The sequence below is a fragment of the Homo sapiens genome, chromosome 4 (assembly GCF_000001405.40).
Source record: "Homo sapiens chromosome 4, GRCh38.p14 Primary Assembly".
NCBI classification, from domain to species: Eukaryota; Metazoa; Chordata; class Mammalia; order Primates; family Hominidae; genus Homo; species Homo sapiens.
Genome location: NC_000004.12, coordinates 184,111,428 through 184,134,119, shown reverse-complemented (window position 1 = coordinate 184,134,119; position 22,692 = coordinate 184,111,428). Strand labels below are relative to the sequence as shown.

At 42.8% G+C, this 22,692-nt stretch overlaps 1 protein-coding gene across 1 annotated transcript in view; it reads left to right on the top strand.

Moving 5' to 3' along the window:
• Positions 1-22,692, top strand: part of ENPP6 (ectonucleotide pyrophosphatase/phosphodiesterase 6) — a 129,168-nt gene that overhangs the window by 83,754 nt on the left and 22,722 nt on the right. Inside the window, exons 3-6 of the mRNA NM_153343.4 lie at positions 9,848-9,959; positions 16,220-16,361; positions 17,085-17,264; positions 21,311-21,448. Of these exons, the coding sequence (NP_699174.1) occupies positions 9,848-9,959; positions 16,220-16,361; positions 17,085-17,264; positions 21,311-21,448 (572 nt within the window). The remainder of the gene's footprint in view (positions 1-9,847; positions 9,960-16,219; positions 16,362-17,084; positions 17,265-21,310; positions 21,449-22,692) is intronic.

Sequence of the window (22,692 nt, the reverse complement as noted above, 5' to 3'; positions counted from 1 at the left end):
GAGGTTAGTGTAATCTTGATACAAAAATGTGACAGACATTAAAGAAAGTAAAATTACAAGACAACCTTTTTCATGAACATAGATAGAAAAATTAGAAACAAAGTATTTGCATCCTGAATCTATCAATACATCAATAGAATAATATATGCCAACCAATTGGGTTTATAAAAGGAAAACCCAGGTTTAACATTGAAAAATCACTCCAGCCTGGGTGACAGAGTGAGGCTCCATCTCAAAAAAAAAAAAATCAATCAATATCATTTACAACAGTAATAGAATGAAAGAGAAAATCATCTAATCATTTCAGTAGATACATGAAAAGCAATTGATACAATCCTAAACTAGATTTATTAAAATAAAGTTGGGTAATTAGTACACTGCACCCTTAGTGTGATAAAGGATATCTACCAAAAAAAAAAAATGACAGCAAACATCATAGTTTATGGAGAAATGCGTTCAGGACTATGGTAAGGGTGCCTCCTAGCATGACTTCTATTTAGCTTTGAACTGGAGGGTCCTTCGGGGGAGCAGGGGAAGATGACAGGGATAAAACAATTAAAAAGGCAAAAAACTGTCATTATTCACAGATGACTGTTTTGGAAAAACCCCAAAGAATTCACTTTTAGAATTAATAAGAGGCATTTTGATATAAATTCAAAATTTAAAAATTATTGTATTGGTATCAACAGAAAACTGAGAAAAAATTAAAAGGTCAATACCATTTATAGTAAATTCAAATACGTGAAAGATGTAAGAATAAATCTAATAAAAATGGCTCAAGAACTTAATATCAAAAAGCATTTAGAGAAATGTAAAAAGACCTAAATAATTGGAAAAACATGTTTATAAACTGGTAGTCTTAGTATTTTATCAGTTTTCTCAGAATGGATCTACAGATTCACTGTAATCCCAATCAAAATCTCAACTGTGTGTGTGTGTGTGTGTGTGTGTGTGTGTGAATTGACAGGTTGATTCTAAAATTTATATGAAGTGCAGACTCCAGAATAGCTGAAACTATTTGGAGTCAGATGAACAAAACAGGAAGATTTACTCCATTAATAGATACAGACCTACTTTAAACTACAAAAAGTAAGACAAATTGTATTTCCACAAGAATAGTTAAATAGACTAAGGGTAAAGGTCAGAAATTCCTGAAATAAACCCACAAACATATGATCCAATACCTGATTTATGACCGTGACACTCCCACAAAGTGATAAAAGATAGTCTCCAAAAAATTATGATAGATCAATTGGAGATTTTATATATATATATATATATATATGTGTGTGTGTGTGTGTATATATGTATATATGTATATATATGTGTGTATATATGTATATATGTGTATCTATATATACATCTTCTGACTATCTAATACCATATATGAAAATTAATTCTAGGTAATTCCTGATGGATTGTAGATCTAAACGTAAAATGGAAAACATAAGGCTTCTATGTTTAGAAAAATTTGGAACTGAAGAAAGAAAACATAGGTGAATATCTTCATGACTTTAGATAAGAAGAATATTTCTTAAGCAGGAAAAGATAGCACTAACAGTGTAGAAAAATGACTGATGAAGTCATTAAAATTAGAAGCTTCTCTTTATGAAAAGACATTACTAGAAAGGACAAAAATAATTACAAAGTATGAGGAAATAAAACAAACAACGAGTTGATATCTGGAACATATGCACAATTCCTATAAATAAAAAGGAAAAAGTCAACTCAATAGAAAAATATGAGCTAACACTTTACATAATTGGGTATCCCAATGGTCAATAAACATATGTAAAGACACTCAGCCTTGGTAGCAAAAAAAAAAGCAAAATAAAACTACAATGTGAGAACTCATCATATCCACTGTGATGGTTATTTTTATGTGTCAACTTGACGGGTAGAGGGGTCCCCAGATTAAATATTATTTCTGTGTGTTTCTGTTGGGGGTTTCCAGTTGAGATTGACGTTTGCATCAGTGGACTCAGTAATGTATTTTTCCCTCCCCAATGTGGGTGGCCATCATCCAATCCCTTGAGGGCCTGAATAGAACAAAAGGCTTAGGAGGGAAGGGGTCACTCCTTCCTACCTAATCGCTTCAGCTGGGACATCCATCTTCTGCTCTCAGTTCTCCTGGTTCTCAGGCCTTCAGACTGAATTAGGACTGAATTAGGACTGAATTACAACCACCAGGTTTCCTAGATCTCCAGCTTGTGGATGGCGGATGGTGGGACTTCTCAGCCTCCATAATTGTGGAAGCCAATTCCTCATAATATACCTCTTTATATATATATATATGTGTGTGTGTGTGTGTGTGTGTGTGTGTTCTATTGGTCCTTGTTTCTCTACAGACTCTTGATAGTCACAGACACTGAAATGGAAAATGGGTAATTTTGAAAACCAACAAATCCAAGTGTTGATGAGGATGGAGCAACTGAGTCTTAGAAAGTGCTGGTAGAGGCAGGGCGTGATGGCTCACACCTGTGATCCCAGCACTTTGGGAGGCCAAGGCAGGTGGATCACCTGAGGTCAAGAGTTCAAGACCAGCCTGGCCAACATGGTGAAATCTCATCTGTACTAAAAATACAAAAAAAAAAAAAAATTAGCTGGGCATGGTGATGGGTGCCTGTAGTCCCAGCTACTCGGGGAGGCTAAGGCAGGAGAATCGCTTGAACCCAGGAGCAGAGATTGCAGTGAGCTAAGATCACTCCACTGCACTCCAGCCTGGGCGACAGAGGGAGACTCCATCTCAAAAAAAAAGAAAGAAGAAAGAAAAGAAAGAAAGAAAGAAGAAAGAGAGAGAGGAGAGAGAAAGGAAGGAAGGAAGGAAGGAAGGAAGGAAGGAAGGAAGGAAGGAAGGAAGAGAAAGAGAAAGAAAGAAAGAAAAGGAAAGAAAGAAAGAAAAAGAAAGAAAGAAAGAAGAAAGAAAGAAAGAAAGAAAGAAAGAAAGAAAGAAAGAAAGAAAGAAAGAAAGAAAGAAAGTAAGTGCTGGTGGAAGCAAGTTGAAACAATAGCTTTACAAAACTCTTTGACATTATCTTATAAAGTTGACTGTATACGTTCCCCAAATCGAGCTCTTCTCTTAATGCGTGTATCCTAACAGAAATGCATACCTATGAGCACCAAAGAAAGTGTACAGAAATGTTTCTGTCGGCATTATCTACTATATTTGAACACTGGCAATGACCCAAATGTTCAACAACTTTAGGATAGATAAATAGTGATACAGTCACATAACGGAACTTCTGTGTCCTAATTGGCATATTACAAGGCAGTTGGAAATTAACACTACAAAATAAGTTTTGGTTCCTTATGACAAAAGCAACATTTATTTTAGAAAAGTTAGTTCCATTAAGATAAGTAATAATAAGAATAGAAAGTCACCACTCTCTCTCTCTTGTCAGTTAGGACTTGTCTGCTGCAAATGATATAGAATGTAGTTTAGACTGGATAAACACAAAGGAATTGATTTGTATCATATAACAAGGAGTGCTTTATGTGGTTCAGACACTGACCAATGTCATTTTTAAAACCCAAGCTCTTTTTTTTTTGTTTTGTTTTGTTTGATTTGGAGTCTCGCTCTGTGGCCCAGGCTGGAGTGCAGTGGTGTGATCTCGGCTCACTGCAAGCTCCGCCTCCCGGGTTCACGCCATTCTCCTGCCTCAGCCTCCCGAGTAGCTGGGACTACAGGTGCCCACCACCACGCCCGGCTAATTTTTTGTGTTTTTAGTAGAGACAGGGTTTCACCGTGTTAGCCAGGATGGTCTCGATCTCCTGACCTCGTGATCCACCCACCTCGGCCTCCCAAAGTGCTGGGATTACAGGCATGAGCCACCGCGCCCGGCCAAAACCCAGGCTCTTTATATCCCTTGCCCATGTCAGCACATCGGCTTATCCTCATGCTTGTTGCCCTATAGTTTCAAGGCAGCTGCTGCAGACCCAGGGATCCTGCCCTCACAACCGCATTCCAAACTGGAGAAGAGAGTAGCTTGGCCAGCAGCACACCTTGTCTTTCATGAGGAAGCAAAGCTTCCCACCCTAAGCTCCGCACCCAATCTCAATGCCACTTCTAAGTCAAATGACAATTCCTACCCACAAGGGGACCTCAGGAAGTGAGGAAGTTTTCCTCTTTATATTCGACAAAACAGAAACAGAGAAGGGAGTTTAGAATCACTTAAATCAACCAAAAAAAGTCTGCCAAACCAGTCATTGAAATTGTGTCCTTTCTTCTATTTTGTTGTATTTACTTCTACTCTTTTTTGGACATAAACCTGCTTTAAATACTTCCAAAAAGGAGATCATCTGTTATATACTATTTTGTAGCTTTTTTCTTTCAAAATATTATGCCACTAAATAAAATGGCATAATTATTTTAACGCCTGCATATTACTTCATTATGTGGATATGCTATAATTTAACCATACCTCTATTATCAAATCTTTAAATTGCTTCTCAGTTTTATAAATAATATTGTAATAAAGATGCTTGTATATACAACTTTATTTTTTAGAGTATGTTTCTAGCAGTGATTTGCTAGGCAAAGCATGTAGACCATAGAAGTTGTCTGAGTTTCACAACAACCTTAGTCTCAATGGGTAACAGTGACCCTGAAATCCATGTCTAGGTGTATTTTTCAAACACAGGTCTTGATGCGTAGTGGATGGGAGTTCACTTGATCCATAAGTTGAAACGTACTTATGGAATGCTAATAAGCATTTTTTTAAAAACACAGAACAGAATAGAAGAAGAAAGTATTTGTGTACATTGCCTATAATTTGGTGAAATTTTGTTTCTGGTGTGTGTGTGTGTGTGTGTGTGTGTGTGTGTGTGTATGTTGGGGGGGTGTTTGTGTACTACGTCAGTGCATTTTTCCACGGATTACAGACAAAAAGTTTTCAAAACTTTCCAATAGAAGAACGCTTACATGCCTCCTGATTTCCAGCATTCATTTCTTATTTCTTTTTCCTGTTCGAGAAGTTCTAGAACAGTAATAATAAATTACCATGGTGATGATAGCATTCCTGATTTGCTTCTCACCTAAATGAAAATGCATCCCTTGAAGTTTTGAAAAATGTAGAGTTTTCACTGTTGTTAATAACTAGCCTGTCGGTGAAGTTTTCATTTCCTCTTTACATCAAGTTACATAAAGGTTTCTTTTTAATTTATAGGCAGTTAGATTTATTGGTGGTTAATTATCATGACTAATTCCTAATTTTATTACCCATGATCAGATAGTATGCAATTGTGGCCTACAAAAATTCTGCTTTTTGGAAGTTACTGAGATTTTCTTTTTGACCAGAATATGATCAGTTTTTTCAACAGTTATATTCGAAAATAATGCACATTCTATGCTAATAAGATAAACTTTTCAATATCTATTGAATCCAGCCTATTGATACTAACATTCAAATCCTCTAGATTTGTATTTATTCTTTATGTCTTGAACTGTCATGAAAGTTTTCCACCAAGTTGCAATTTTGCACGTTATATTTCCAAGATTTCTTTGTGTGTGTAGGTTTTTTTTTTTGCCCATTCTTTTATATCTATTCTTCTGTGTCATTTTATTTCAAATGTGCATTTTGTAAATAAAGTTGGATTTTATTTCTTACATCATCTTGACATTCTTTAAAAATAGGCTAACTGCCCAGGCATGGTGGCTCATGCCTGTAATTCCAGCACTTTGAGAGGCTGAGGCAGGCAGATCACTTGAGATGAGGAGTTTGAGACCAGCCTGGCCATCATGGTGAAACCTCGTGTCTACTAAAAATACAAAAATTAGCCAGGCATGGTGGCATATGCCTGTAATCCCAACTACTCAGGAAGCTGAGGTAGGAGAATTGCTTGAACCCGGGAGGTGGAAGTTGCAGTGACCCGAGATCGTGCCACTGCACTCCAGCCTGGGTGACAGAGTGAGACTCTGCCTCAAAAAAAAGTAGAATTTAATCTATTCACAATAATTTTGAAGTTAATAAATTTGGTTTTCTCCTTTTTTATTCATTCAGTATTAATGCTTCCTGGTTGCTTCCTTTTATTCACTTATATGTACTTTGATATTTGATCAATTTTTTTTGTTTTTTTCCTTGATGACTCAAAAGCTATGCTGTTCTGTATTTTCAAATCTTTTAAATCAATATCTAGAATGAAACATTATATATTGACTATCCCTTCCCTTCATCAACAATGAAAATGCTTTCTCTTCCTTCCCTGGCACTCTCTCCCAATTTCTGTTGACATAATTTGGAACTTTAGACCCAGATTATTACTTTAAAAATGCTAAGTATACACCTTATTCTTCCATAAAATATTTTCACATAACTACCTTAATAGTTATCACTTAGGCTTAACGATTTTTTAAAAATTATTTGGATATGGAGTTTCGCTCTTGTTACCCAGGCTGGAGTGCAATGGCTCAATCTCAGCTCACTGCAACCTCCACCCACCAGGTTCAAGGGATTCTCCTGCCTCAGCCTCCCAAGTAGCTGGGAATACAGGCACACAGCACTACGCCTGGCTAGTTTTATATTTTTGGTAGAGGCAGGGTTTCACCTTGTTAGCCAGGCCAGTCTCAAGCTCCTGACCTCAGGTCTTGCTTTTTTATTCAGCCTGACCCACCTCTGCGTTTTAAATAACATATTTAGTCCATTTATTTTTGATGTAATTATTGATGTTTTGGAGTTTAAAACTCTCATCTTCATACTGTTTTTTTACTTGTCTTAACTGTTTTTGTTCCTCTGTTTCTCCTTTCCTATCTTTTTTTCACTAATTGAGTACTTTTAGAATTCTACCATATCTTCTTTATTAATCTTAGATTTTATTGTTTTTTTCCTAATGGTTATTCTAGACATTTCAACACACATCTATAACTTATTTACATCTACTTTAAAATAATATTCACAAATGACATGAGTTTCAAAATTTTATTATATAATGCCATTTGTCCACATATGCACTTTTTATATTCTTACTGTCATATGTTTTACTTTTACGTATGTTGTAAAGTCCATAATATATTGTTATCAATTTTGATTTAGTCAATAATCTTTTTTAAAAATGTATTTTATGTTTAACCTTTCTCACTGACAATTGTGCCGTCTATGGATCTGATTCTGTTGATTATTTTTTCTCTTAATTATGGGGCACGTTTTACTGTTTTTAGCATGTTTCATGATTTTTTATTGTATGTTGGACATTGTGTGAGAAAGAACAATAGAGATAATATGGTAAATAATATTTTCCCCAGAAAGACCATATTTCTTCCTATTTCATTCCTCTAGGGTGGCATCCAAATCAATCTAATCTGTAGCTGAGCTGGGTCTGCGCTTTCCTGAAGATTTAGTTAGATTCATTTTTCCACTAGTGTCACAGGTGAGAAATGATAAGGACGATCACTTTAGCAAGTCTTGCAATTTGTCCAGTGCTTTACATAGAGAATTCATGCTGCCAACTTCTTGGGTCACTGAGGAATTCTTTTTCTCTCCAGCATTGTCTACAGCTTTCTGCAAGTTGGAAGATCCCTTTCCACTCTGATGTATGTCCTTAGTCTTTGATAAAACTGTTGCTTTGCACTCAGTGAAGAGTTTGTGTACTTTGGGGGAATTTCTCTTGATTCTCCTATCCTACCTTTAGCCTAGGTAGCCACGGTAGGCTGCTGCCATGATGTTTGTTTAAATTAAAATTAATTATAGTTTTCGAAAATACAGAAGTCCATAGCACTATAACAACAGCTCCACTTTGACACATACTGCCTCTACCTGTACTGTAGAATTTTACATGTAATTAATCAATAAAAAAAAGTTTGTTTTCTACTTTAACCTGAGGCAAGGGCAAATTACTCAGGTGAACTGTATTACTGTGCCAGTGTTAAGTCCAGATTCATTTTATTTAAGTAAAGGTATTAAGAGAACATCTGTTTGATAACATTAACAAACATATTTATTGTTGCTCGTACCAAAAACATTTATAGTTTTATATTATGTGCAAACACCAAAAAGGATGCGTTTCTCTTATCTGCAAAACCATGGTCATACTGCATTACTTACAATTTACATACAGATGTGTCAGAGATGCTAGAAGCAGACACCTGGTCACACTGTACATGACTGTTAAACTTTTAAAGGGTGGGTGATATCTTATTTGCTTTGGGGTTTCTGGCACTGAGCACAAGGTGGATACAGAAAAAATAGCTTTGAGAGAGCAATAACAATTCACAAATCACCTTCAACAGATAAAACACTGGTATCTAAAGTGATATAGTCATTCAAGATTCCACTGACATTTCTTACTCTAATGAATATTTTCCTGGAAGTCATGAGCAGTATTTATTTCTGGGTCACCTAGCCTATTTTTCCCTCTCAAAAAACATGTTTTGGAAAAGGAAACTTCCTGCTTTTCTAGTTCTGTCACAGTGATTGTAGGAGCCCTTGCTCTCCCTGAATCCAACATATCAAGCAGAAAGCAATAGGGTCTCTCATGACACACCCAGGTCTTGCTATAGTATGCCAGATGAAGGGATGCTTTCTGGAGGCTGCCCTGTCATCTTTTAAATCAGCTGTAACCAGCTGGCAGATGTACCCAGGGGTGGGGTTGATGTGCTTCCTGACAGGGACTCCTTCCTCCTTTCCTCCTGCGCTCCCTCTGCCCCACTTTTACTTACCTCACCTTGGAAATCATTTTCCCTGGGCTACAAGAAAGAGCAGCATCTGGTCTCCTGGCACCATTGTCTGGCATTTTATGGTACTTACAGTTCTCTACACATACAGTGTTGCTCAGAAGTTCTCTGAACCCTTGGTCAAGCTGCTGTCTTTGCCTGGGACTTCCTCCCAGCCCACCTGCATCCCACTGCCGTGGCTAAATCTACAAAACTGAGCCCAACATCGGGACCTGAGGAAGGCTTTCAGGAGGAAGTGATGCCTGAAGTCAGTGCCCTTCATCTGATTCCCACAACACCCAGGAAGCATGCACCTCCCTTTAGACTTCACATACCACACACTTTCCTGTGTCCCCTCCCACTAGACTAAACTCTGGGATGCTCCCGGAAGGAGACCCTACCAGATCCACTCCTGTTTCCAGTACGTCTGAACATAGTGACTCGGTCATAGTAAATGCCCAATAAATATTTACTCAACTAGCAGAAACCAAGGTGGGCACATCCCTCTCCTGTTCTATGTTCCCTAATATGGATGGGTGTTTCTCGGCAGAGCAACTACTTCTACTTGTCCAGGAGTCTGGGGCAGAAAAGCTGAGTCTGTTCACATCGGAATGAGTTTGATTCTTTCACTCTGTTTTGGGCCAGGCAAGGGTACGGCTCAGACCCCATTGCTTGAACTCACTGATTCTTAGCTTGCCAATTTGGCAGAGTACCTCTAAGTCCAGTTAGCTTTTGTATAATGCCACAGGATAGTAAAATATTTATTTTATAATCCTCTGACTAATCAGATGCTACCTAATACTTGATTCTAGAAGAGGCAAAAGTACACTAGAAGACTTTGTTTTCATGAAAGACTTAGATTCATGAAAAATCTATTGAAGAAATTTTCAATTGAGGTATTTGTGTATATTGATTAATTGTGTTTTGTTTCAAATTGGGAAAGACAGTTGTGGTCTAATTTTTGCCAGTCTCTGATGTGGGACACCAGTGTTGCATAGGAATGACATTTGAGAACCTCTGCTCTGGTTATGCAAAATTACAGTTAAATACACCACTTATTAGCAATAAGTTATTTTAGTTCATAAAAATACTCAACATTTTTATTTTTGATTTTGACTAATGGTGTTTGCTTCCTGAAATAGGCTCATAACTCGACATTACTTATTGAAGAGAGTAACTATTTGCCATCTTTTTCCTTCTCAGGCTGTGAGGTTGAGATTCTGGGTGTCAGACCCACCTACTGCCTAGAATATAAAAATGTCCCAACGGATATCAATTTTGCCAATGCAGTCAGCGATGCTCTTGACTCCTTCAAGTAAGTGTCCCAAACTCTAGCCACACCATTTTCTTCCTTGTTTCCAGGACTGATCATGGATCCTAAAGTGAATTAAGAGGGCTTTGTGGAGATGAAATAATGTCAGAGAGTTGGTGAGAGTCTTGCATAGTGATTGTTAACTGCTAGTAGGGAGTAATTGTGAGCAAGTGATTTCAGGCAGGGGCAATCTCTGGAAATGTTGAATTGAGAGCAGGAAAATCCCTAAGGGTTTGAATCTCCTTTTTTATGTTGTTAAACAACGGAGAAACAATATAAATGTCATCATTTCCCTAAGCATTAGTCAGTGAACAATTGTGTCTCTGAAGGTACTAATCAGTATTTGGCAAAAAGGAAGGATATGTGGTCAAATAAGTTTGGGAAAATTGCCTACCCTACCCCCTTCTTGTACCCATGTACAAAATGCATGGGTATATTAGAACACAAAATCTGTTTTTTCCCTCCCACATGGAACCATGACACACAATTTGAAAAATGTAGGAATTAGTAATGCTCTCTTGTATAGCACACAAGAGTCTGTCAAGGACACTGATCAAGACAGTTCAGGACAAAGCCTGAAGTCAGTCTCAGAAATCTCTGGAAGTGGAAGTCAAGATGGGAGCCCAAGTGGGAGTTTGCATTAAGTAGAGATCAGCAACCGAGAGGTTACAGATGCTGGGGGCTTTTGAGTTTCCAGGAGTGGACTTGAGGTCACTGTGGACACTGAATGGGTTTCCTGTGTGCGTCAGGCAGAAGACCCACCATAATCAGAGCAAAGAGGCTGGGGACAGGACCTTCATCCCCCCAAGAAAAGGAGCCTGGTTTCAAGCTGGGCATATCCGAGAACCAACATACCCAGGCACAGTGTACAGAGCACTAGCACGAGCCACATGAAAGGGCCTGTCCCTAAAACTGCCTCAGATACAGAGCTGACCAATCATAGATTTTCTTCTTGCCACGCCCTTCCGATGCCATGGTGAGCAGCAGCCACCCCCACAGAGCTGTGAAAGCAGAAAACAGCACCCTGCCTTCACTGCTTCTTAGAATGATTCCACTTCCACGAAACCTATCAAGAGGGTCCAGGGAGGTGGGGTTCATAAAGGTTCATGCTCTCATTGACAGGTCGGAGAGAAAACAGGTTTAAAACACATAGAAATGGAGAAATAATTGCCCGTGAGTGCTGGAGAACCACACAAGGATGAGCCGGTATATTGCGCTGCAGTCTAGTTTTGTGCGAGTGAAGCAGAATAGCACAGCACGTGTAGCAGATGAGTGGGGCTGGCACTTGGACATTGCTCCATGTCTAACCAGTGCTGTTTCCAACATATCCAGAATGCCAGCCATCCCCACAGGCCATGGCTGTGCCAAATATGAAATTTCGGGTTAGAGTTGTCATACAGATACCTCCAAATAACCCAACAGTCTGTTTGGCAATGTCATCCTTTTTGCATTCATCTTATCTTAACAGCTGATGGATTGTCACTCTGTACCACCCGGTGATTCACAGGTGGGTGAGCACAGAGCACACAGCCATGAGAATCCCAGGTTGGCACTGGCCTACTAAGCAGTGCCAGTGCAGGTTGGCACCGGCCAGTCTAAGCAGACTTCCCTGTCCTGAGAGACACCAGCATGCAGCGGGGAATAAGTGCTGGGCTCTGTTTCCTCTAGAGAAGCTATAGAAATGCATCTTTACCTTGGAGAATATTTAGGAATGGGGAAGGTTCTGGTGGTGGTGGTGGTGGTGGTGGTGGTGGTGGTGTATGAGTGTGTGTCTACCATAGGTATTGGGTTCCACCAGGAAGAAAGGGCTACAAAGAACCGGAAGCCCAGGAAAGGGTCCCCAGCTAGGCTGCCACCTAATGTGCCCTGGCATTACCATACTGCCCAGCTCCACGTATTTAAATTGTGGTCTATGTAGATGGCCTTGAGCTCCATGGGTTGGCATTCACATGGTCTGCAATAAGAATGATGCCCTGGAAGCAGTGAAGGCCTGGGTCGGATGGAAACCAGGTCAGTGTAATTGTCTCATGGGGTCTTCATATTGCCAAAGTTAACAGGGCCACCAGAAACAGCCCCTTTGGGTAGTAGGTGGAAAGATGGAGACCCACTACCTCTAAAGCTAGGAAGCTCTTGACATGTGAGAAAGAAAAGAATAATAATAGGCTGGATGATACTGCCTGTGGAAGACAGTGAGATGACTTGGGCCTCCCCTGAAGACACAGGAAGCCCCTCCTTCAGCCAACCTGTGTGTTATTATTAGAACATGTCTCATCACCTTCTTACAAAGAATAATAAAGGCCTGAAAGTTGTGGGTCAACATTTTTCTTTGAAAGAAATCTAACCTTTGTCTCCTTCAGGAATGAGGTGAGTGAAGAAGATGTCCAGTCTAGAACAGTCTAGACCAGTCAAGAGCACTTTGCCTGTAGCAGCTTGTCCATGCAATCATGTGGCTCAAAGGAATCATTAAGTCTCTTGGTATGTGTGTCTAGCAAAGATGTAGGCTTATTGGTCTGTCCATCAGAGACCCTTGAAAGAGGAGCATGTCTAGAATGCCACAGCTCACCTCTTGACTTCTGTTCAGCTCTACTGCAAATTCCTAACTATAATTTGAGGAACACTTGGAGTTTTCATACATGAGTGCCCAAACATGCACACACATTTCTCCAAGTCACTACAAGACTCACAGAGTGTGTTTTTTAATCCACTTTGCTATTAACTTGAGAGGCAGAGAGAATGGAACCCAGGATAGATGGGCTTTGACAGAAAGCAGGAGAGGCTGTTAAGATCTTGAACATAGAGGTCTGCTCAGGGACATTTCAGCAGAGGATCTATGTCAGCCTGTGGTAGGAAAGAGAATCCCTCGCCCAAGTTTGATTCAGGCATTCCTTCCAGTGCTCATAACGCATTACTGACCCCAGACATATCCTTGTGAAATGCTACCTTTGAATTTGGACAACTTCTAGAATAGGGAAAAGGAGGAGGGAAGGGAATTAGTGCTTTAACAGCCATTGGCTAGTATTGTGTCAATGGGCTTGATATCCAGTAACCCACTTGGTTCTCATGTCCGTGGTATTGTGTAGGCATTGCTCTCCCCACCTTACAAAAGAGGCCACTGGCTCTCTGAAGGTTAAATACTTCTTGGACCTCACAAGCCAGCCAGTGGTGGAGCAAGAGCCCAGCTCTTTCCACAGCGGCTTAGGGCTCAGACTCTGGAGGCCTCCTGCCTTGGGGACACGGTGCCTGAGAACCACTCCAGGGTCAACTCCTCAGTCCTCTACCCTGATCTCTGCCAGCTCACACCTCTAAGACACCCTGAAATTGAGACAGCGACAGGGAGTCCAGACGCGCCTCTTTGCAAGTGTTCTCTTTGGGGCCATCCTAAGGCCTGGGGTTCTGCAGCCTGCAGCCCAGGCACCGGAGCCATGTGCCTCCCACCACACATGGGCAGTCTGCAGGCAGTGCCCCCCACACACGGCCCTTTTTCCTGGCTGAAAAGGAAGCAGGGTTTGTGATCTGCATCACTTACTCCCATCCTTCTGGAAGTCCGATTTGCAGGATATTCGTGGTTCAGTGGGCAGGAAAAGGTGCATGGTGCTAAAGCTGAAATGAGCCTTGAATGGCTCATGGGGTTGGTGGAGGAGAGCAGGGGGTCACAGTGGGCCGGACAACTGCTTCCAGGCTTGTAGAGCAGACTCACTGTGCAGCTTCACAAAAGTGTCAGTCAGGAAACAACTTGGCTGCCGGAACAGTGGGCACAGCCATAGGCTGTGTATAGATATGGTCCTTTGTCAAGCTCCAGGCTACTGAAGACAGCTCTAAAGGACTGCCTTCAGGATCCCAGAGCCTCAGTGGTGCCTGGACTAATGAAGGAATGGATGACACAACTCTTTCCACGGGCCACCAGGAAGCCAGCTCCCCTGTCCTGGCCTGGACCCTCCTCCCTGTAGAGTACAGGGAAGAAGGAGCAGGAATCAGGCTGGGGCTAGGAGACTGGCTCCTCATGCCTGCTCAGCCACATACTCAGGAAAAGCGATCTAGGGCCACCTGGAAGGAGGAGAGAAATGGGAGGCATTTCTTCCCCTCCCCTCCCTTTTACTATGTGTCAAGTGCTTTATACACATCAGCTTGTTTAATACACCATGTTACCCTTTGAGTAGTGTATCAGTTCGTTCTCTTGCTGCTAATAAAGACATACCTAAGACTGGGTAATTTGTAAAGGGAAGAGATTTAATTGACTCGCAGTTCTACAGGGCTGGGGAGGCCTCAGGAAACTTACAATCATGGCAGAAGGGAAAGCAGACGTGTCCTTCTTCACATGGCAGCAACAAGGAGAAGTGCCAAGCAAAAGGGGGGAAATCCCTTTATAAAACCATCAGATCTCATGGGAACTCACTCACGATCATGAGAATAGCAATATCATGAGAATAGCCCCCATGCTCCAATCACCTCCCACTGGATCCCTCCCACAACACATGGGGACTATGGGAGCTACAATTCAAGATGAGATTTGGGTGGGGACACAGCCAAACCATATCAAGTAGGTTTTTCAGATGGGAAAACGGAGGCTTGGAGATAATCTTGCCATTTATCTGAGGCCTCGAGGTTAGTTAGAAGAGAAGCCAGAGTTTGATCCCGAATTTGTCTAGTTCCAATGACCCTGTCAAAAGAGAATTTTCAAAATTAAGACTTGTCATATGCTCAGCACATCTGGGTATGAGGAATATGCCAAGGTTCAACATAGTTTCTTGCTGAGGGGAACCAGGAGCATGACAAAGTTGCTTATAAGGAGTAAATGAGACACACACACACACACACACACACACACACACACACACACACACACACACACACCAAGAAACAGAAGGATGGAGAATGATGAGTGATAATTATTGTTTGATGCAGATATGCTTAATAATATAGAGGATAATCAAACCATAATGTTAGAGCTGCTTTCTCCATCAGACAAAAATAATTTTCATCTTATCAGTTTCCTACAAGCTAACAGCTACGTTTCCGGAGTCTGAACTCCAATCAGTAGTTCAGTCTGGTGACTCAAGCAAGCTTATTAGACAGTGCTCACCATGGCACTGAGAAGACAGGCAATCATACTGTAGGCTTTATTTCTAAGTTTTGGATCATTTTTCTTAACAGTCAGCCACTTTAGTAAGAAAAATGGAAAGAACATTAAGAACTTTTTACATGGCAAAGAAATCAGGACAGAATCATAAGGTGATGGGAGACTCAGGTGTCCCTGAAACCCCAGGGCTAGGAACCCCTTGCAGCTCTCAGGTGACTGTGCTGGGGGCCACATGTCCTTCTAGAATGGTTCCTGGACCTTAGAGCTGTCAATGGCCAGTAGTAGGTGGGCAGGCATGACTACTCGTCACTCCTCACCCAAACAATTCATTGCAAATGAGCTGACCTGGGATGGAAACCAGATCCCTGTGGAAAACAGCTGGCAAGCAAGCATGTGTCAGCTAAACTCCAGACAGGCAAGAGGTCTCAGCCCTTGAAGACATAGGGTCCTAATGAGTCAATGAAATGTCAACGTATCATCCTTTCACAAAAGACATGTGTATAATCCCTGAATCACAGGCATCACAAATCCAGGATTCCCAGCATCTGGGGTTGACAGCTTCCTGACCAAAAGCCACCAGGTAAATTGCCACACATAATGGATGATGTGGAGGTTTGTGAATAGAGTAATAGCCTTAAGGAAACCAGGACAGGAGTGCTGCACTAAGGAGAGGTATCTAACATGAAGAGACCTAGAATTAGTTCATTCGTTAAACTTTAATGCAATGGTAAACTTTATTCATGAAAACTCCTCACTATAGTAAGTCACCACTGAGTTTAATCGGATTTTTCCCTACATGTAAGCCCACTCTGGAAGTGTGGACACCTAAACAGATGCCATACTGTGTGAACAGGCACATCTGAAATGCTAAATGTGCACGTACCTAAAGCAATGAAATGCTGAGGCTTATCCAAAGGACAGATTTTATGGAAGCTTCACTATGTTCAAAGACTGCGAATTCTATGTTCAAAGATTGCAAAGAATTGCTCAGGACCAGCAATTCTTGGTTCAGTGTGTGCTTCTCCCTTGGAGATCTGACCTCATTTATTTTAGGGTATTGGCTTTGTCTGGCCCAGGGACAAGGTTTCGGGGGGCGTGAACACCTTCAGAGAGTGCTATGGGGGTGATAAGGGAGCAAGCTGGCGGGGGCCTCCCTCACCTATGCCTCTCTCCTCTGTCCCTCCAGGAGTGGCCGGGCCGACCTGGCAGCCATATACCATGAGCGCATTGACGTGGAAGGCCACCACTACGGGCCTGCATCTCCGCAGAGGAAAGATGCCCTCAAGGCTGTAGACACTGTCCTGAAGTACATGACCAAGTGGATCCAGGTGACCTGAAGCAAAGACACGTGGCCTGGCCTTCTCTCTGTCACCCTCTGTTTGTCTCCTCCACAGTCACTCCTGTCAACATCTTCCCTCTTACTGCTAAAGGCCAATTGGGCCAGCACAGGCTTTGACGAGTCCCTTGGCTTCACACAATGCCTCCTGCGATACCAAGTGATCCTTTGTTCCACAGCCAGGCCAGTGAGAGAGACTGACCTAGGTGTGCTTTCTCGCCTGGCTCAGCTGGAGAGACACCCAGCTCTGTGGACTCCTAATAAGTTTGGTAGCAGCTTGACATGTAGACAGGTTCCAGTCCTGATTCTACCTTACGCTTTTGCTGAATGACTACAAGTGTTCAGTTTTGTTTTTACCTTTGCTTTCCCTTCCTGTGCTTTATCCTGTACATCTGTAACATGGGCACGTGATAGTTCTCAAACCAGCACACAAATTTGTTGAAAGAGCCAGAGAAGATGCAGAGCGTCGACCTTAAAAAGCTGAAAGTGCTGTGTAAGGTGTCAGCACGAATTGAGTGGGACTGAGCCTCACAGTCCCCTCCGCAAAGGGCTTCTGTTGTGGTTTTGAACTGGGTCTCACCAGGGCAAAATAGTAGAAGATTAAACACAGAACTGAGGAGATAGCCTTTCTCCTATCATTTGTAGTTGACAAGGTTTTCTGAGTGCACGAGCCTCTCTGTTGGTGCCGTAATGACTGTCTTTTCCCACCCCACAGGAGCGGGGCCTGCAGGACCGCCTGAACGTCATTATTTTCTCGGATCACGGAATGACCGACATTTTCTGGATGGACAAAGTGATTGAGCTGAATAAGTACATCAGCCTGAATGACCTGCAGCAAGTGAAGGACCGCGGGCCTGTTGTGAGCCTTTGGCCGGCCCCTGGGAAACACTCTGAGGCAAGACAGACCCGTGGGGGGCGGAGGAGGGCCATGTGGGCCCTCGTGTGTTGCCATCTGCACTGTCTTTTCCTTGTAGTTTTTTTGTTTTGTTTTGTGTGTGTGTGTTTGTTTCTTTTTTTGAGGCAGAGTTTCACTTTTATTGCCCAGGCTGGAGTGCAATGGCGCGATCTCGGCTCACTGCAACCTCTGCCTCCCAGGTTCAAGTGATTCTCCTGCCTCAGCCTCCTGAGCAGCTGGGTCTATAGGCATGCGCCACCATGCCCGGCTAATTTTGTATTTTCAGTAGAGACAGGGTTTCTCCATGTGGTCAGGCTGGTCTCCAACTCCTGACCTCAGGTGATCCACCCGCCTCGGCCTCCCAAAGTGCTGGGATTACAGGTGTGAGCCACCACGCCCGGCCTTTCCTTGTAGTTTTAATACTGACATACAGAGCAGTGTCAGGAGCTCGGGTGCTGGAGACAGATGACCTAGTTTACCTCTCACTCCCTGAGTGACCTCTATCAAGTCTCTGTTTTTTCTTCTCTGAAATGGGCATGATGATACCTACTCCATTGAATGTCATGAGAATTAAATGAGATCAAGGAAGCATCATACAGGCCCTCACCAGGGCTGTTTGTTTGTTTGTTTTTTGAGACGGAGTCTCGCTCTGTCGCCCAGGCTGGAGTGCAGTGGCGCTATCTCGGCTCACTGCAAGCTTTGCCTCCCGGGTTCATGCCATTCTCCTGTCTCAGCCTCCTGGGTAGTTGGGTCTACAGGCGCCCGCCACCATGCCCAGCTAATTTTTTTGTATTTTTTTTTTTTAGTAGAGACGGGGTTTCACCATGTTAACCAGGATGGTCTCGATCTCCTGACCTCGTGATCCACCTGCCTCGGCCTCCCAAGATGCTGGGATTACAGGCGTGAACCACCGTGCCCGGCCTAGGGCTGTTTTGTTATTGGCCCAAATGCAGCACTTCTCAGGCACATCTGGGGAGCATCAGCAGCATCCCTAGGCTGCCCTTTCTCAGGAAAGAGGCTTCTGCCAGGCTGATCTGTTTCTGTCGGGGAACAAGAGGGTAAAGAATGAAGGGAGCTGAGGCTGTATGCAGTGCCCAGCTCCTTATGTCAGGAGCCACCGTTCCCAGCTCTGTGTTCAGTTGGAAGCCAGACAAGCTCCCCACCCTGGCCTCTCTGCCTCCCTGTACGTGAGCATGGTGGTGCTGTCATAGCTGCCTCCTGGCTGCTGTGAGGGATATGGAAGCACGCTGAGCCCACTGCAAGGACAATGTATGTGTCGGTGACCATGATGATCCCCACCAGAGGGTGTGGTTGAGTTCCCACAGTGCCAAGATGGGGGACAAAGCTCTGCTCCCCACAGTCACTGCCCTGCACCAGGGATGACTAGACCTCTGCTTACCCTGCTCTCAAAACAAATATTCTGCCTGGCAGTAGCTGGTGACCTACCCTGAGAAGGGAGGAGGAGCAAGTGGCACCTTCTGCTGGCTGCTTGTCCCCCGAGTTCCTAGTCACTTCCCAATATGGGCTTTGTGGCTTGTCCCACTCCCAGATGAAACTGATCTGGGCAGGAAGCAACTGTCTTCCTGGGGGCAGGCGACCTGCTGCCCCTGGAGGTTGCCAACCACAGGGTACCAGTAGTAGGTCCTGGCCAGCCTGCTTTCTCTCTCCATCCTCACTGCAGCCATGAGTTGACTCTGGACAGTCATTAGTAAGGATGAAGCACTGGTGGAGGCCAGGGTCTCACCTCTTTAGCCCAATCCTTCTGCAAATGCATCCTCCTTTCCTTAAGAACTCCGGATTTCCTTAAGTAGAAAATCATAACTCACGGAGCCTACTGCCCTATAAGATCTGTCTGTTTGGGGTTGAGGAACACAGATGCCCAGAATGCCACTGCTCCCAGCCTTGCTCCATCCCCAGGGGGACAGTCCTTTGTTCTCAGGCTCCATGGTCAGGGACTGCAGGTGCAGGATATGTTTATGCAGTGTTCCCATGAGCTCCCAAAATATGAAATCAGAAACAATATTTTACACATTGGCAGGTTCTTGAAAATACATTCTGGGTTTTTTCTTTTTTTCTTTTTTTTTTTTGGCAAGAAAGATCATCCTTGTGTCCAATTTGGCACTTAGGAACGTGCTGTCTCCAGAACTTGGGCATCAACAGCTTTTGAGCTAGGGAGAGCGCCTTCCAAGGTACTGTTCAAGTCAGGCATTGCAGGCAGCCAAAGCAGTTGGTAGAGTATTCAAAAGCGGGGGCCATGTTTGGGCGACAGTTTGTCATGTGACGGACACAACAGTTTGTGAGACCTGCTGTGTGTCGCTAGATTTTTCACTTATACAAAATCCTTCTGCAAATGCATCCTCCTTTCCTTAAGAACTCCGGATTTCCTTAAGTAGAAAATCATAACTCAGGAGCCGTCAGAAACCATCCACTACATTATTTTACAGAGTTGAGTTGATAAACTCAATCTTATATTCAGTGATGCCCAGAAATATATGCCTGATTTGGCTAAAGGCCAAGTCAATATCAGTCAGTCGATTTTAATTTTAGCCATAGATATTTAAGTGGCTGCTACTATTAGAAATATGTACAGGGCCAGGCGCGATGGCTGACGCCTGTAATCCCAGCACTTTATGAGGCTAAGGTGGGTGGATCACCTGAGGTCAGGGGTTCAAGACCAGCCTGGCCAACATGGCGAAAACCCGTCTTTACTAAAAATACAAAAATTAGCTGGGTGTAGCAGTGGGTGCCTGTAGTTCCAGCTACTTGGGAGGCTGAGGCAGGAGAATTGCTTGAACTCAGGAGTCGGAGGTTGCAGTGAGCCAAGATCTTGCCATTGCACTCCAGCCTGGGTGACAAGAGCAAAACTCCATCAAAAAGAAAGAAAGAAAGAGAGAAAGAAAGAAAGAAAGAAAGAAAGAAAGAAAGAAAGAAAGAAAGAAAGAAAGAAAGAAAGAAAAGAAAGAAAGGAAGGAAAAAGAAAGAGAAAGAGAGAGAGATAAAAAGAAATATGTACAGGGCCACACTCGGTGGCTGAAGCCTATATTCCTAGCACTTTGGGAGGCTGAGGCAGGCAGATGTACAAAGTATGTACAAAGTTTGCATCTTCATCATGAAATTAGCAATGTAGTTAATGGCAAACAAGTACTAGTGCTTTAAAGATTCACATGCAGGCAGGATAGGCTCTAGGTCAAGTTGAAGAACAAATCCTCTTTTTTGATCTTTGCAATATTTAATATCAGGTAGACCAATTTCTTACTTTCCCTTTAATATCAGCATGGGAGTTTTGACATAATATTAGAGCATGGGCGTTTTGACATTATTAGAAAATGAATAAGGTGTGAAAGGTAATGTTACAGCAGACCCTTTATACTCAGAACACCTGAGAAATAGGACATTACCGTTACCTGGGACAGCTGTATGTCCTTCTCAGACCCAATCCCCCTTTTTGCCCCCTCAGAGGAAACCACTGTCTTAAATTATTAAAACCTCCGTTTACAGTTTTACCATATATGCTGTTTAGTTTTGTAGTTGCTCAAACTATAATAAGAAATATAGAATTGGAATAATTTTGCCTGTATTCTTCAGCAACTTGCTTTTCCCCCCACTAAAGCTGAGATCCCTGAGAGTCTTCCAGGAGTGTTTGTAGCTATAATTCATTCATCTTCAGTGCTGTAGAGTATTCCATTGCAGAACCACACCATGAATTCTTTCTCTCCCCCACTATTGCTGGGCATTTGGGCTGTTCCAGTTTGCAGGGTTCATTCCTCCACATGGCTACAGGTGCACAGGCTTGAGGGATTTCACTCTATTCCTCAGAGTCAACTTCTTAGGTGAGAGAGTGTGAGGATCTTCAGCCTTCCTGGATGAAGCCACCTTGCTTTTTGAGACAGACAAAAGTTTTTTGTTTTTACATATTCAAATCTATCAAGTATTTGGCAATTTCTTTCTTTGGTCTTATACGTAAGTTCTCCTCTCCCCTAGCTCCAGTAAATATTCACACATATTTAAGAGAGTGTCAAACTGATCACTCTTGATTTTCTTTGCAGATATATAACAAACTGAGCACAGTGGAACACATGACTGTCTACGAGAAAGAAGCCATCCCAAGCAGGTTCTATTACAAGAAAGGAAAGTTTGTCTCTCCTTTGACTTTAGTGGCTGATGAAGGCTGGTTCATAACTGAGGTAATTATGAAATATGTGCCAATTTATTCTCTATGCAAATTCTATAAAACAGTCCAAAGTTAAATAATAGTTACTCAAGTTTTTATACATAAAAGATTTTTTCACTTAGGCATCGTTTGTTGCGTTATGTCTTTCTTTAGAGAATCAAAAGTCTTGATCGGGTAACTTTGTAGACACAACTGTAGACGCGAACCCAGAGTCATGGTTTAGACTTCGTGGCTCCAGACTCGCTGTGTTTTAACAAACGGGCATTAACTCGATTACCCGGCTTACAATGTAACCTGTTCGCTTGAAAGTGGAACAATTACTGTGAACCAAAGCAATTGCTCAAGGGCAGTCAAAAGCAGGGAGAGGCTCAGCTTAACTTTCACCTTCAAGAGAAATGTTTGGCAAACGAGACTGTGAGTCCCCAGTTTGCCAATTTGATCTTTCAGAGGAGAATATCATGCATTTTTTGTCCAAACCTTAATTGCCTCATGCCTGAATGACCTCCACAGCCTCCTCCTGGTTGGCCTGGACTCTAAGCTCATCCAGCTCTGGCATCAGCTTGTGATATCAGGCCACGGTGGGGAGGCCCTGCCCTTTAGGGGAGTCTGCAGTCGTGTCATGTTTACAGTTCATTCCTGAAGACAGCATGGGTTATTTTAGGAATTTGAAGGTGGGTTGCAATTATTAGCTTGGTTCAAAAGTAATTGCAGTATGACAAAAATCACAATTACTTTTGCACCAACCTAATAGAACAGGCTCCAGGGTACATGAGAGTAGCTGGTTGAGGCCAACCAAGTGTAAGACCTAAGACTGTCAGTAGTCACCCCGGGGCATGAGGACAGGCGATGATCAGCAGGAAGGCTGACTGGGCAAGTGAGTGGGAGTCCGGGACATGGGCATGGGAAAATGGGGGTTGTGTGACATGTAACACACAGGTTGTGTGTTATGCAGGAAGACTGCGTGGCTTCTGGGTGCTCTCAGACAGAGAGAAGCACCTGGCACCAAGGAACTGAGAAGAGAGCAGATTCGGTTAGGGGTGTGAGTTGCGCAGAGCAGAGACCAGCGAGGTCCTTCTCAGGCAGCTATGGCTTCTCTGCCACGTGGTTTACAAGGTGAGGGTCCCTCTGTTCCCTAATGCCCTCTCCTCTACAATCCAAAATGCTTCTCATCACTTCATCACAGAGTGTGAGGTCACCTGGAGTGAGGTTAGGTTGGGATCACCAAATCATCACTTAGAGTGGTTTGCTCAGGACCTC